Source organism: Homo sapiens, chromosome 11 (assembly GCF_000001405.40).
Source record: "Homo sapiens chromosome 11, GRCh38.p14 Primary Assembly".
Lineage (NCBI taxonomy): Eukaryota > Metazoa > Chordata > Mammalia > Primates > Hominidae > Homo > Homo sapiens.
In genome coordinates, this window is record NC_000011.10 from 125,408,048 (window position 1) to 125,420,938 (window position 12,891).

The 12,891-nt window shown below is 49.9% G+C and overlaps 1 protein-coding gene across 28 annotated transcripts in view, besides 1 other annotated feature; it reads left to right on the plus strand.

Annotated features, from left to right (window-relative positions):
• Positions 1-12,891, plus strand: part of PKNOX2 (PBX/knotted 1 homeobox 2) — a 268,639-nt gene that overhangs the window by 243,297 nt on the left and 12,451 nt on the right. For 16 of the 28 annotated variants that reach the window (NR_168083.1, NR_168076.1, NR_168081.1 and 13 more), the window contains 3 exons: positions 2,149-2,278; positions 2,732-2,829; positions 3,699-3,818. The exons of 6 other annotated variants lie outside the window; for them this stretch is intronic. Coding sequence is in view for 14 of the 22 variants with exons in the window: in NM_001382333.1 (NP_001369262.1) it covers positions 2,149-2,278; positions 2,732-2,829; positions 3,699-3,818 (348 nt within the window). In the remaining 8 variants the exon portion in view is untranslated. The remainder of the gene's footprint in view (positions 1-2,148; positions 2,279-2,731; positions 2,830-3,698; positions 3,819-12,891) is intronic. 6 more of the 28 variants (NR_168082.1, NR_168079.1, NR_168078.1 and 3 more) reach the window with 5 other exon arrangements.
• Positions 707-1,906: an enhancer, noted in NCBI's record as "CDK7 strongly-dependent group 2 enhancer chr11:125278650-125279849 (GRCh37/hg19 assembly coordinates)". NCBI's record gives its function as "activates an origin of replication core promoter dependent on BRD2, BRD4, P300/CBP, MED14 and CDK7 cofactors, with strong dependence on CDK7, by STARR-seq in HCT116 cells {active_cell/tissue: HCT116}" and the evidence as "EXISTENCE:reporter gene assay evidence [ECO:0000049][PMID:35650434]".

The following is a 12,891-nucleotide window of genomic DNA, read 5'->3' on the forward strand; positions in this document are numbered from 1 at the left end:
TGATTGGTTGACCTGCAGGATTCAAGGAGCATTTGCAGCCCAGAACCGGTGTAGGGGGCATTTGTGGGTGAAGGAGATCTGTGTTCTAGTCCTCTGGCTGCTAACGGGCTGTGTGGCCTTGGGAAGTCCCAGGCATCTCTAAACCTCAGTGCCTTATTTGTACTTCAGGGAGGGGAAATGTGTGGCTTCCAGGGGCTCTTCCAGTTTCTAGGCTTCTGCATGGCAGACTCCATTTTAGACTGCGACTGCAGGAACAGAAAGGCCAAGAGCTCTGCTCAAAGTATAAGCTTCACGGGCTAGGCGGCTCCCACGGGGCCCCAGGAAGGGGAAGCCAAGGCAAGAGCTGCCCCCTCTGTTCCCCAAGGTCACAGCAGCAGAGGTGAGCTCAGAATAGAAGCAAGGCCTCCATCGCCCCACCCACCCGGAGGAGCCACACCAGGAGGCCCGTGCGGCAGGTGGGTGGGAGGAGGGCGTGCTTGGCTCCTCTCCTCCTGGCGCTGCTTATTTATAGGAAATACTCCTCCAGCTCTTGGGCCAGAGACAACCCAGGAGAGTAAAAAAAGGCAGCTCTGGAGGAGACGCCAAGGGGGATTTAATCAGCTGAATCGAGTGAGATGTATAAATCAGTGCCGACTTCCACTTCCTGACAGGCTCTGCCAGGTTCTGTGTTGTCAGGGTCTGGGAGGAGATTCGCCATGGCTGTCCCCCGGGCTGTAACACTTTCCCTTCGTTGCTACAGGTAGGCAGTCACTGGCTCGAGGTTTCCTCCAAACACAGATTTCCGGGCTCAAAACCCTAGACTTGCCCTGGAGGCTGAAGACCCAAGCTTCTTCAAGTCCTAAAACAAAAACCGGGAAGCTGGGGCCTTCTTTTTTGCCCCATTTTGTCTATTTCCTTGACCATTTACCTGTCTCTAAATCCTTGCAGTTCACGCCTTACGATTCCAGCATTTGAGCATGGGAATGTCGCCGAAATGGCCATTGGACCTGTTAACTGGTTCAAGCCCCGTCTTCAGATGAGGAACCGTGGCTAGGAGGAGCTAAGAGACTCAGGCAGGCCTCCTGAGGCTCCCACACTTCACTCGCTGCCTTTTTTCTTCTCCGAACCTAGAGACCCTAACCTCTCCCACATCCTATTCCTTCCTCACAAATTCTCTCCAAGCACCCAGCCTCCCAGTGCAGGCTCCCCAGAAAGCAGGGAGGGCTCCACAGCAAGTCCAAGGACTTCTTTACCCAGCTGTTAACTAGGAATGGTGAGGAGAGCAGAGGGCCAGGAAAACATGTCTTACCTGCCTGGGCTAACGCAAAGAAAAGCGGCAAAGGTTCCGTGCTGGTCGGCAGTGTGGGGAGAGGAGAGTCTGTTTCCAGTGGAATCCTGTGGGCAGCCTGAGGAAGAGAACAGGATCGATGCCATGTGCCGAAGGTGGCTGAGGCTCATATGAGACACCCTTAGAAGACAGGTTATGGGAAGGCTAGGGCGGCTTTCATTTGCTTATTTAACATGTATTTTAGTATCCTGAGCTAGGTGCTAAGGATACAAAGGTGAGAGCTGGAGGCTGCTCTGTGTGTGCAGCCTAGTGTGACAGGCCTGTGATGGAGGTGTGTGGAGAGCAGCCGGGGGACGGGAAAGCATCAGGAGACAAGCGTCGCTGAAGGATGAGCAGGTGCCGACCAGGTGAAGCCATTTTCTCAGACCCGGCTGACAGTGGAATCACCTGGGGAGCTTTTAATAACCCGGAGCCCATTGAATATGATGGATCTGATCAAGAAAAAATCCAGAGCCCAGGACACACTCCTGAACAATTAAATGAGACTCTCTGAGATTGGAACCCAAGCATCATTACTGGAGATTTCAAAGTACAGCCAAGGAGGAGACCATGGGGGTTATCAGATAATTTGTGCCTTAGGTTTTCAGGGCAATGGAATGGTTAAATGGGTGACTCTTTTTGTTTTTGTTTTTTTTAATTGAGCCTTCTTATTCACCCTTTCTAGGAAACCAAGAGAGTTGCCTTCTGGACCTGGGTCTGGGGAGGAGCTAGAAGGAGGGAGGGGGGCAGGCAGGAAGGGGAAAGGACGGAAGAGGACTCTGGGGCTGTAGGGTCTAAGCTCTCAGTGTCATTGTCACAAACCACGCCTCCCTCACTGCCAGGACCTCCTGCAGAATTCCCCCAATTCCATGTCCGGAGTCTCCAATAACCCCCAGGGGATTGTGGTCCCAGCCTCAGCGCTCCAGCAGGGCAACATCGCCATGACAACCGTCAACTCACAAGTTGTGTCAGGTCGGTGCAAAGACTGGGAAGGGTGATTGTGGGAATTCCCTGGGAGGAGAAAGGGTGGCCCCGAGGCGGTTCCAGGGGTGGGGGTTGTCCTCCACCGAGGGAGGGGCTCCCAGCTCAGTTTCTTGACTAAAGTTTTCTGTAAGTTTATAGACGGTTAGCGCCAAGACCCAATTGTGATGGTTTAGAACAAATTTGGGTCAAAATCTCATGAGCCCCTGAGAGGACCAAGTAAGGCTGTTGTCCCTTCCCCGAAGCACCTCCCACCAGAGGCTCTGTCCTAGGCTCTAGACACCATCCCCCACCCACCCATAAAGCAGAAAGCCATAGCTCGCTACCCAAGGGCTCCAAGTAGAGGGTCTTTACACATGAGTGCCAAATGAACTGGGAACCCTGCTTGCCCTCGCTCCTACCCACTCCCATGGCAGGGGACCCCAAAACTGGTTGTCTCCTCAGGTGGAGCCTTATACCAACCGGTTACCATGGTAACCTCCCAGGGTCAGGTGGTCACCCAAGCAATCCCCCAGGGAGCCATCCAGATCCAGAACACACAGGTGAGTGTGTGTAGGTGTGTGCACATGTGCATGGTGTGGGCTAGGGCACCTGTAATCGCTTCTTATCTGCCAGGCACTTTACACGGGTGACTCATTGAATCCTCATCATCCTCTAAGAGGTATCATTACCCCTACTTTACAGATAAGAAGCTGGGTCTTGGAAAGGTTTTATCAACTCCTGGGATTTTGCTGCCTCCCTCCTGGGGTTACATCAAAGGATCCTGCACTTCCTATTCCTGTCTGCAGACTGAGCCGCTGTGTCCCTCAGTGGTAGAGAGTGCACACACAAAGGAAGAGTAGAAAGATCGGAAGTCAGAGTCTGGGATCTGACATTAACTCTGGGATCTCTGATAAGTCACCTAACCTCTCTGAGCCTCAGACTTCTTATTGATAAAAGGGGGATTAATAGCAACTGCACACAGCCTAGCCAACCTACAGGGCTGCTGTGAGAATGAACCACAGCGATGGATAGGAAAGTGCTTTGCAAACTGTAAAGTACCACAGAAATGCTGATAACTACTTGACAGCTTATGGCAAATTCATATCTTCTCCTGTTCTCTCTGCATGGCCCTGTTTCCTCTGTCTTTCTCTCTCTCTCTCTCTCTCTCTCTCTCTCTCTCTCTCTCTCTCTCTCCCCCCCTTCCCCATCTCTTCCTCCTTGTCCTTCTTCCCTTCTCCCATCACCCAAGCCTCACCTCCACTCTCTGAGGGGCTGGCATGGGCTGAGAGGGAAAGGTGACCTCCCCAGGGCCCTAGGAATGAGCCGGGAAAGGGGCTGGCAGCCAAGCCTGCCGTCGCTATGGCAACAGGTCCCCAGCCGCTGCCCTCACAGGCTGCTGATGCTGATTTTCTCTCCACGTGCCCTGAAGGTTAACCTTGACCTCACCTCCCTCCTGGACAATGAGGATAAGAAGTCCAAGAACAAACGAGGAGTCTTGCCCAAGCATGCCACCAATATAATGCGTTCTTGGCTCTTCCAGCATCTCATGGTGAGTGTGTGTGTCTTGGGGGTGTGGAGTCCCGGCATGGGGTATGAATAACCCACCGTGTGGGTACCAGACTCTGCTGTCGGCTCCAAACCCACAGACAGAGGGCGCGGCCTCGGGGAGAGCTCTCTGATAGGAATGACATCTGGAGTCCAGGCCAGGGGGGCTCAGGTGGGGCCTAAAGCTGGAGACCTTCTCCAGTACCTGCTGCTGTTGCTATCTGGAAAAAATGTGGCAACACATGGGGTAATGGGGACAAGTGCATGCTCAAGAGTCAAGTGCTGGGCAGGTGTGTCACACTGTTTCATGAACAGAGAGAGGGTCACTGCGGGGAGTGGGTGGTTTCTGGTCCAGAGCCCTCCCCCTGCCGCAGCCACGCTCACCGTGCCCCTCTCCCATGGAAGAATGTGTTGACTCTGCCAGGACTCCTGAGTCCTCCCCACTGGGTGAGCCAAGCGCTGTGTGGTGGAGATGGGCGCCAAGGCTGGAATCCTGGCTCCTCATGTCACAGCTCAGCTCCAGGACACAGCACTATTTCTTTCATAAGCTGCAGCAGCTCCTTTTATAAAATGGCACACTACCTCGGGTTGCAGTGGAGTGTTACTGAAGTGCATACTGTGTGAAGGTTGCTATGTGTTTGTGTGCAGCATTAGTTGCAAAAGACGAGCCTTTGGTGGAATGTCAGGAAAGACTTCAAAATTGCAATCTCCCAACACCACTTTCAAGGGCTGTGGCAGTAAATAAAGGCCAGTGACTGTGCTGAGTGTGTATGCGCTGGTGTGTGTGTGTTCTGGGGTGGGGAGGTAGATGCTGTGACCACGGGCGGGCTTCCATTAGTCTGCGAGCTCCTGCCCTGGCATGTCAGGACAGACAGACACAGATACAAGACAAATTCCAAGGGACTGAGGATCCATTGGCTGGAGAACTGTGGGAAGAATCAGGAGGAAGAGGAAATCCTTCTTCAGGGAGGAGAAAAATCGAATGGGCCATGGAAACTAATTAGTCCATCAACAGCCGTTGTATCTGAACTGGGAGAGCCTTCAGAAGCCATGGAGACCAGGCCTCAGTGGTTCTCAGACTTTAGTGGCAGCAGAAGACTGACTGGGTCTTGGGGGCTCTGATTGGGAAGTGCTGGACCTTCCTGTGCACCCAAGAGACTGGAAGGATTACCTCCTAGAAAGAGATGAGAGCCGGAGCTCGGCATCTCCCCAAAAGTGTTCCCTCGCCTCTGGGGGCGTGGGGCTGCCCCAGTGGTTTGCTGAGTGAGTACATTTTGAAAGCACTGACTAGTCTGAACACCTACAGTTTCCAGATGAGAAAGCTAATTTGGAGAGGAGGGGCTGGAATGCTGGAGTTAAGGTGAGGAAAGGAGGCTGGAGGGAACCCTGTGCCTAGGTGATGAGGCCAGAGGCCCCGCAGCAGGTCCAGCCTCAGGCCTCTAAGGAGCAGCTCTGATTCAGTGGCTGGAGTGCACAGGGGGAACGCCCAGGTCTCCTGCCTTTCAGGTTTTCCAAATTGCCTGAGAGCCAGGGGGCTCAGATGGACTCAGTGACCTGTGGGTCCAGCGTCCATGCCACAGCTCCCAGCCTACCTGTGGGAGGAAGGATGCATCTTCTGTGCACTGACCTGGCACAACCAAAATGAAAGCACCACCCGCTCCCAACTGCTCGTGGAGCTAAGTCTGGCTGCGCTCATTGTGGTGGGTGACATACGATGCAGGGTCACAGGGGTGCTAGAAAGCTCATGGGCTTTTGAGGCAGCTGAACCTGGGTTCAGAGGTCAGTGTTACCTTTTACCCGGCAACTTGGTCACACTCGCCTCTTAGGAAGACTGTGATGAAGTAATGAAAGATTGCCAGGACCCTGGCCCACTGAATTGCTTAATAAATGCTCCCTTTCCTTCCCCACCTCCCACCCCCATGCGTTTTTGAAGACTGTTGTGAACATACCTACAACCTCACTTCTGAAGGGGGAGAAAGGCAAGAGGAGAGAGAGGAAGCTGCAAGGCAGATTCCCCTGCCCAGGAGCCCAGGTGTCCAGGCCAGCACCTGCTCACTGACTCTCCTCACCCTATCTGTGGCCTTCCCCTTCACTACTTTCCACTCCCCACTTGCAACTTACCCCTGGGAATCGTTAGCCTGAGACTGGAGGGTCACCCATCTCTGTCCCTCCTGGTCATGCCTGGCCTCTCACCTGGGACCTCGGTTCATGCCCCACCCTCTCATCTCCTTCCTTGTGAGCCTCCCTGCAGAGCTCAGGGTCCTGTCTTTCCACTCCATGGTCACTTCCACCCAGACTTGGGAAGGCAGAGGAAGGGGAGGTGGAGAAGAGAGGAAGTAGTAGCTGAGCACAGAGTGAGGCAGGACCCAGGCTGGCATCTACAGAAAGCACCAGGGATAGGGTAGAGGACTTGCCGAAACGCATGAGGAGGGGCTTTCTGCCCACACTTTCCCACCCACCCCTGTTGCCCTCTCCAGCCTGGCAGTGGGCACAGGTGCAGGTGCCATTCATGACGCGCTTAACATTGGCAGAGTCCTCCCCCAGTTCATCACAGTGGCCTCTAGAGAGGCAAGGGGAGTGGCCACTGGGCCTCTAAAGGCAGAGCTCAGAACTTTGGGACTGAAGGGAAGGAAGAAAATGAGAAGTCCAGGCTGCTCTAGGGAAACAAGCAGACCCAGCTGTCCTTGGCAGGCCACACCTGGGCCACACAGCCATGCACATGTGGACACACCCTCCCCAATCCTCAGCTGCTTCAGGAAAGAGGCTATAAAGGCTCTTCATAACTAGGCACGGTAGAAAGAAGACAGGATTTGAAGCCAGACAGATCGAGGCATGAATTGAGGCTCTCCCACTAGCAGTGTGATTACCCTGATTCTATTTCTTTGAAAAAAAAAAAAAGAAGCTAATACTTATTTCCCATGGTTGTGAAAATTCAATGAGAAAATGTATATAAAGAGCCAGGCCTAGCACATAGCACTTAAGAAATAAGTTCCCTTTGAATTTTTTAGAACAATGGACCAAGAGCAAGTTTTGGAGGCTGAAGACCCAAAATTTGTGAATATTAATCAGAGGTAGATAGCTGATTTGTTGTTTTCATCTATAACACCTACTGATTTTACTATCATTTGACCGTAAGAGTAACGGACAGTACTGTGACTTACTCATTCTTTGGGTAGATGTGTGTGCCTCTCTTGCATCTCTGACTCTGTTGTAAATTTCTCAGAAATAAGGATCATACATTATATTCCTCTAGGAGCCCTACAGCATTAATTCCCAAGGTACGGAGCTTTATAGGATTTATGAGGTCTTGCACCCCAAAAGAGGTTCCATGGTGAAATAAGTTTGGGCCAATCTGAGTTATATAAAGTTTAGCTTTTTTTTTTTTTTTTTTTTTTGGTGGCGGGGTACAGTCTCACTCTGTTGCCCAGGCTGGAATGCAATGGCACGATCTTGGCTCACTGCAATCCCCACCTCCCAGGTTCAAGTTCAAGCGATTCTCCTGCCTCAGCTTCCCATGTAACTGGGATTACAGGCGTCTACCACCATGCTTGGCTAATTTTTATATTTTTAGTAGAGGTGGGGTTTTACCATGTTGCCCAGTCTGGTCTTGAACTCAACCTCAAGTGATCTACCCACCTTGGCCTGCCATAGTGTATTTTTTTTTATTCTTACAGGACGAAGGGGCATGGTGAATTTGCAAGAGGGGTAAGGTTCGAAGCTTCTCCCAAACTTATGTGAACACTTTACATCCCCCTTGGTGTTTTCACTGTTGCTCTGAGGAACAACTCTGAGACTGTAATTCTTGAAAAATGCAACTCTAGGGAGACACTGTGTCAGGCCAATAAGAGCTGCTCAGCTTTAGGAAAGAAGAGCGGAAAGGGTATGAAGTAAGGACAGACCTAAATATGCCATCGATGTTCTCACATCCAGTGCAGCTGGGACAACTAATTTGTTGTTGATTGAAAAAATTAGTTTAAAAAAGAAACAACCATTCAAAAGAGATACTTTAATTTAAAAGATGGACATACCGTATACATTCATTTGCTAATCTTTTGATACAGGACTAAGGTCTTTTTCTAATTGTTAGTCATCTTCCTTGCATAAACCTCTCCTATACTGTAACATCTATAAATTCCACCTCAATAGAAAGTGGAATTACAGGCCGGGTGCGGTGGCTCACGCCTGTAATCCCAGCACTTTGGGAGGCCGAGGCGGGCGGATCACGAGGTCAGGAGATCGAGACCATCCCGGCTAAAACGGTGAAACCCCGTCTCTACTAAAAATACAAAAAATTAGCCGGGCGTGGTGGCGGGCGCCTGTAGTCCCAGCTACTTGGGAGGCTGAGGCAGGAGAATGGCGTGAACCCGGGAGGCGGAGCTTGCAGTGAGCCGAGATCCCGCCACTGCACTCCAGCCTGGGCGACAGAGCGAGACGCCGTCTCAAAAAAAAAAAAAAAAAAAAAAAAAGAAAGTGGAATTACAACTTTGACGTTTGGGAACTAATCTGTCCACGAGATCTTTCCAGATTTTTATTATGTATTCCAATCCTTTATGTTTGTCTCATCTGATCCTAACTATTCAGCATTTGTAAGCAAATTTGGGCCTCAAGACTTTTGAAAGCTTTCTACTTATCAACAGCGACTCTTTTTGCACTCATATTTCATTGGTTTACAGAAGAGTTTGTTAAATTACAGAAACGTACATACTTTATTAATAATACATAGAATTGGCATAAACCAGTCTGCATACGAGCACTGCTGACTTTCAGATAAGCAGGTAGTGTGGCTAACAGACATTCTACAAAACAGCCTACTCATCTCAAGCATTCAGAGTGCTGCAGACAGCAGTTCTAATGATTTACAGAAGAAGTGGAAACAGCATTGATTAATCCACAAACTTTGCTAAATAGGGATTGGTTGTGAGAATGTCTGTAGTAAATACTGGTTCCTGTTGTCTTCTTTCCCTGGGGCATAAGTTTGTATTCTTTGGTTCCCTTTGTCCTATGTCTGGGGCTTCTTGTCATTTCTACTGTTCTGCAGCCCTGGCAGCTACAGGAAAGTATTCAGATGATAGAAGGCTCCTGAGATGGAGGTGAAATCCCAGAGCCTTTTTGCTGTTAGGCTGCAGTGAGATTGGGATCGTTTCATACGTTAGCTGCTCGCCTCTGAGTCCCTGAAGAATCCAGTGACATTTTCTTGCTCTTGCATTTGGCTGAAAGAGGCCACACTCCTGCTGGAAGCAATCATTCCATAGCAGACTCAGGTCGGCCGAGAGCCCATGGCAGAGAGTCCTCCTCTTGGAGGGTGGAGAGGTAGGCACTGTTCCCCATCCCCAGCTTCTACTCCACCCCTTCTGCTCCAGATCTTGGAGTCTTCCTGACCTGCCACGTGATTCTGCTCCTTTCCATCCCAAATATGACATCTGTCTGTGCTGCTGCCAGCCAAGCACATGAGCAGCTTTTCAGAATATGCTCTGTGTGCGGGGAGATCCTGGAGACCAGGCCCCAGCAGGCCCTGCCATCCACCAGAGGAGCCGCTTCTGCATTAGCCACTGCAGCGTGCCGGGTTCTGCACTAAACACTGTAACGCATCATCTCATTTAACCCACACAACCACCCTAGGAGGAGGTAATACAATTCGCCTCATTTTACCAGTGACAAAACTGACACTCGAAGAAGGCAACACATTTCTCAAGGTCACATGGATGACAGGTGGCACAGGATTTGAACCCGGACCTATGCAACGGGAGGCTCTAATCTCTTACCCACCACTTTGACCCAAGAAACCACAGACATCTCTTGGCTCCCATGCAAAGTCTGGGTAAAGCAAAGGGGAACCCCAACGCCCAGCAGAGGCGTGGAGCCCCGTCCTGGGAGAGGTGTAGAGATTTTACATGTCCAGTCCCGGTCTTCAGACCTCACAGCGATGCTGCCTTTGATGTCTCCCCCACCCCACTCATCACATTCAGAAGCCTGGCCTGGCATCCAGCTGCACTCTGCCATCCACCACCCCATCTTCCATTCAGCCACAAGGAGCTGAGGGCTCACTCCAGGGCCCTTCTATGAACTCTGCTGTGGTCACAAAAGCTGAGTGCACAAAAAACACCCAGGGCCTTCTCTGTGTGACTTTTTAGATAGAAACATAATTCACGTACCATAAAATTTACCGTTTTAAACTGTGGAATTCAGTGGCTTTTAGTATCTTTACAGAGTTGTGCAATCATCACCACCATCTAATTCCAGAATATTTTCATCACCCCAAAAAGAAAGGTTGTACCCATTAGCCATCACTCCCCAGCCCCTGGCAACCATGAATTCACTTTCTGCCTCTATGGGTTTGCCTATTCTGGACATTTCACCTAAATGGAATTGTGGGATTCTCATGTCTAGCTTCTTTTACTTAGGACAATGTATCAGTACTTCATTCCACGTTGTGGTTGAAGCATATTCCATGGTACAGATGTAGCACATTTTGTTTATTCATTTATCAGTTGATGGACTTTGGGGTTGCTTTCACTTCTTGGCTCATAAGTCCTGCTGCCATGACGGGTATACTCTGCATGATTCTGTGCCTGTTGTTCTCTTAGACTCTGTCAGATGCCCAGCTATCCTTCCCCCAGCCTGAGAACCTCACATGCCGGGCTCCTTCTGGCTGGGGGGAGGCAGAGCGGCTGTACCCCAGGAACAGCGGGTGCACTGCACAGAGCTCCTGGCCAAGGAGGGCACGTGGAGGTGAAGCCCAGCCAGTTGCCTCTGTGCCTCGGTGTTGCCTTTGGTCACTCCACATTCTTTGCATGCCTCGCTACCTCCCCTGCGCAGAGCATTGTGTTAAGTCTTGAAGGGATGACAGTCAGCCCTCTGTGTCTATGGGTTCTGAATCCCTGGATCCGACCAACCTTGGATTGAAAATATATCTTTAAGTGGATGGTTGCATCTGTCCTGAACATGTATCGCCTTTTTTCTTGTCATTATTCCCTAAACAACACAGTATAATAACTATTTATATAGCATTTACATTGTATTCATTACTGTAAGTAATCTGGAAATGTTTTAAAATGTACGGGAGGATGTTTGTAGGTTATATGCAAATACTACATCATGTTATATCAGGGACTTGAGCATCCATGAATTTTGGTCCCCCACGGACACTGGAGGTTGACTCTCTCTAGCTGTATCTCTGTCAAAGGCCCACCTACAGGACCCATCCACATGGCTGACATAGGAATGGCAATGTTTCTTAGAAACCACATAGCCTATGGAAAGGACATGGTTCCTGGGGCAGGACCTGGGTTGAGTTTTCACCACCCCCTCTACCTAGCTTGGCGAGCTTGGGTGATTGTTTGCCCTTGTGAAGCCTCTCTTTCCCCTGCTGTAAAACAGGAGCTGCAATATCCAGCTCATAGGTTGTTGTGAGAATAGAATAAGCGGATGGGCGTGAAGGTTCTTTGTCCCGATACAGGCACCGCTACTGCTACAAATGCCTCCAGTCTCATTGAGAGTTCCCATAATTGGCCTTGCCTTGGAAAATGCTGAGAGAAACCACAAAACTTTTGGGGAACCTATGGAGGAAAGCAAGAACCCCTGAAAAAAAAAGAAAAAAAAAAAAAACAAGAAAATGGCTTAGGGAGACTGGCCCATTTTTGTTCCAGAATATTTTGTCTGCTACCTTTTCCTTTAACTTCCTCATACTGTCTGAAATTCCACTTGCATACGTATTAAGGATTAACTTTTTAATGAAATTCCACTATTAGAGACCCATTTTAAACTATCCAATCCCTGTACAAAGCAATGACTATGAAAGGCTGTGAGGCCATCATTTACTCACAGATTAGTACGAATTAGTTCAAAAGCTTGCTTTACTATTCCCACTCAGCTAAGATCAGCTTCATGGGAAGAATGGGGCCAGGCACAGTGATAATCCCAGCACTTTAGGAGGCCAAGGCGGGAGGATTGCTTGAGCCTGAGAGTTCGAGACCAGCCTGAGCAACATAGCGAGACCTCATCTGTTTAAAAAAAGAAAAAATTAAAAAAAAAAAAAAAAAGGCCGAGTGCAGTGGCTCACACCTGTAATCATGCCAGCACTTTGGGAGGCTGAGGTGAGTGGATAGCCTGAGTCTAAGAATTCGAGACCAGCCTGGGCAACATGGCAAAACCCCGTCTCTACTAAAAATACAAAAAAATAGCCAGGCATGGTGGTGGGCACCTGTAGTCCCAGCTATTTGTGGGCCTGAGGTAGGAGGATCATTTGAGCCCAGGAGGTCAAGGCTGCAGTGAGCCCTGATTGTGCCACTGCACTCCAGCCTGGACAACAGAGTAAGACCCTGTTCCCTCCCCACCACATTTCCCCCAAAAAAGCTGAGTTTTTTATTTAAAAAAAAAAAAATGGGGGCCGGGCACGGTGGCTCACGCCTTTAATCCCAGCACTTTGGGAGGCCGAGGTGGGCAGATCATGAGGTCAGGAGATCGAGACCATCCTGGCTAACACGGTGAAACCCCACTCTACTAAAAATACAAAAAATTAGCCAGGGGTGGTGGCAGGCACCTATAGTCCCAGCTACTTGGGAGGCTGAGGCAGGAGAATGGCATGAACCTGGGAGGTAGAGCTTGCAGTGAGCTGAGATTGCGCCACTGCACTCCAGCCTGGGTGACAGAGCAAGACTCCATCTCAAAAAAAAAAAGAAGAATGCTAGTGCTTGTTGGTGGTAGAAGATGAAGGTTAAAATACTTTCTAACAGCATTTTGAGGAGCCAAGCCAGAATGGGGTGCAGAGAAGTTTCTAACAATTGTTCTCAACCTCTCTAAGCCTCTCTATCTTTTGAGAATCTGATGAAAGCTTATTTAGATCATTGTGAACATAGTTTCAGGGCATTTGACCCTGAAGTCAGGGGTCCCAGAGGCCTGAGATTCAGCATGCTGACTGTAGGGTGACACAGAACCCAGGGGCTTCTGAGAAAAGGAACTGGGGCATCGTGTCAATAGGGCACAAAAAGGAGACGCTGAAGGTTCACTTGCATCAATCATGGAGTCTTCCCCAGCCTAGTTCTGACCCTGAAAGCAGAGAGCAGTCTCTCGCCTGTCCT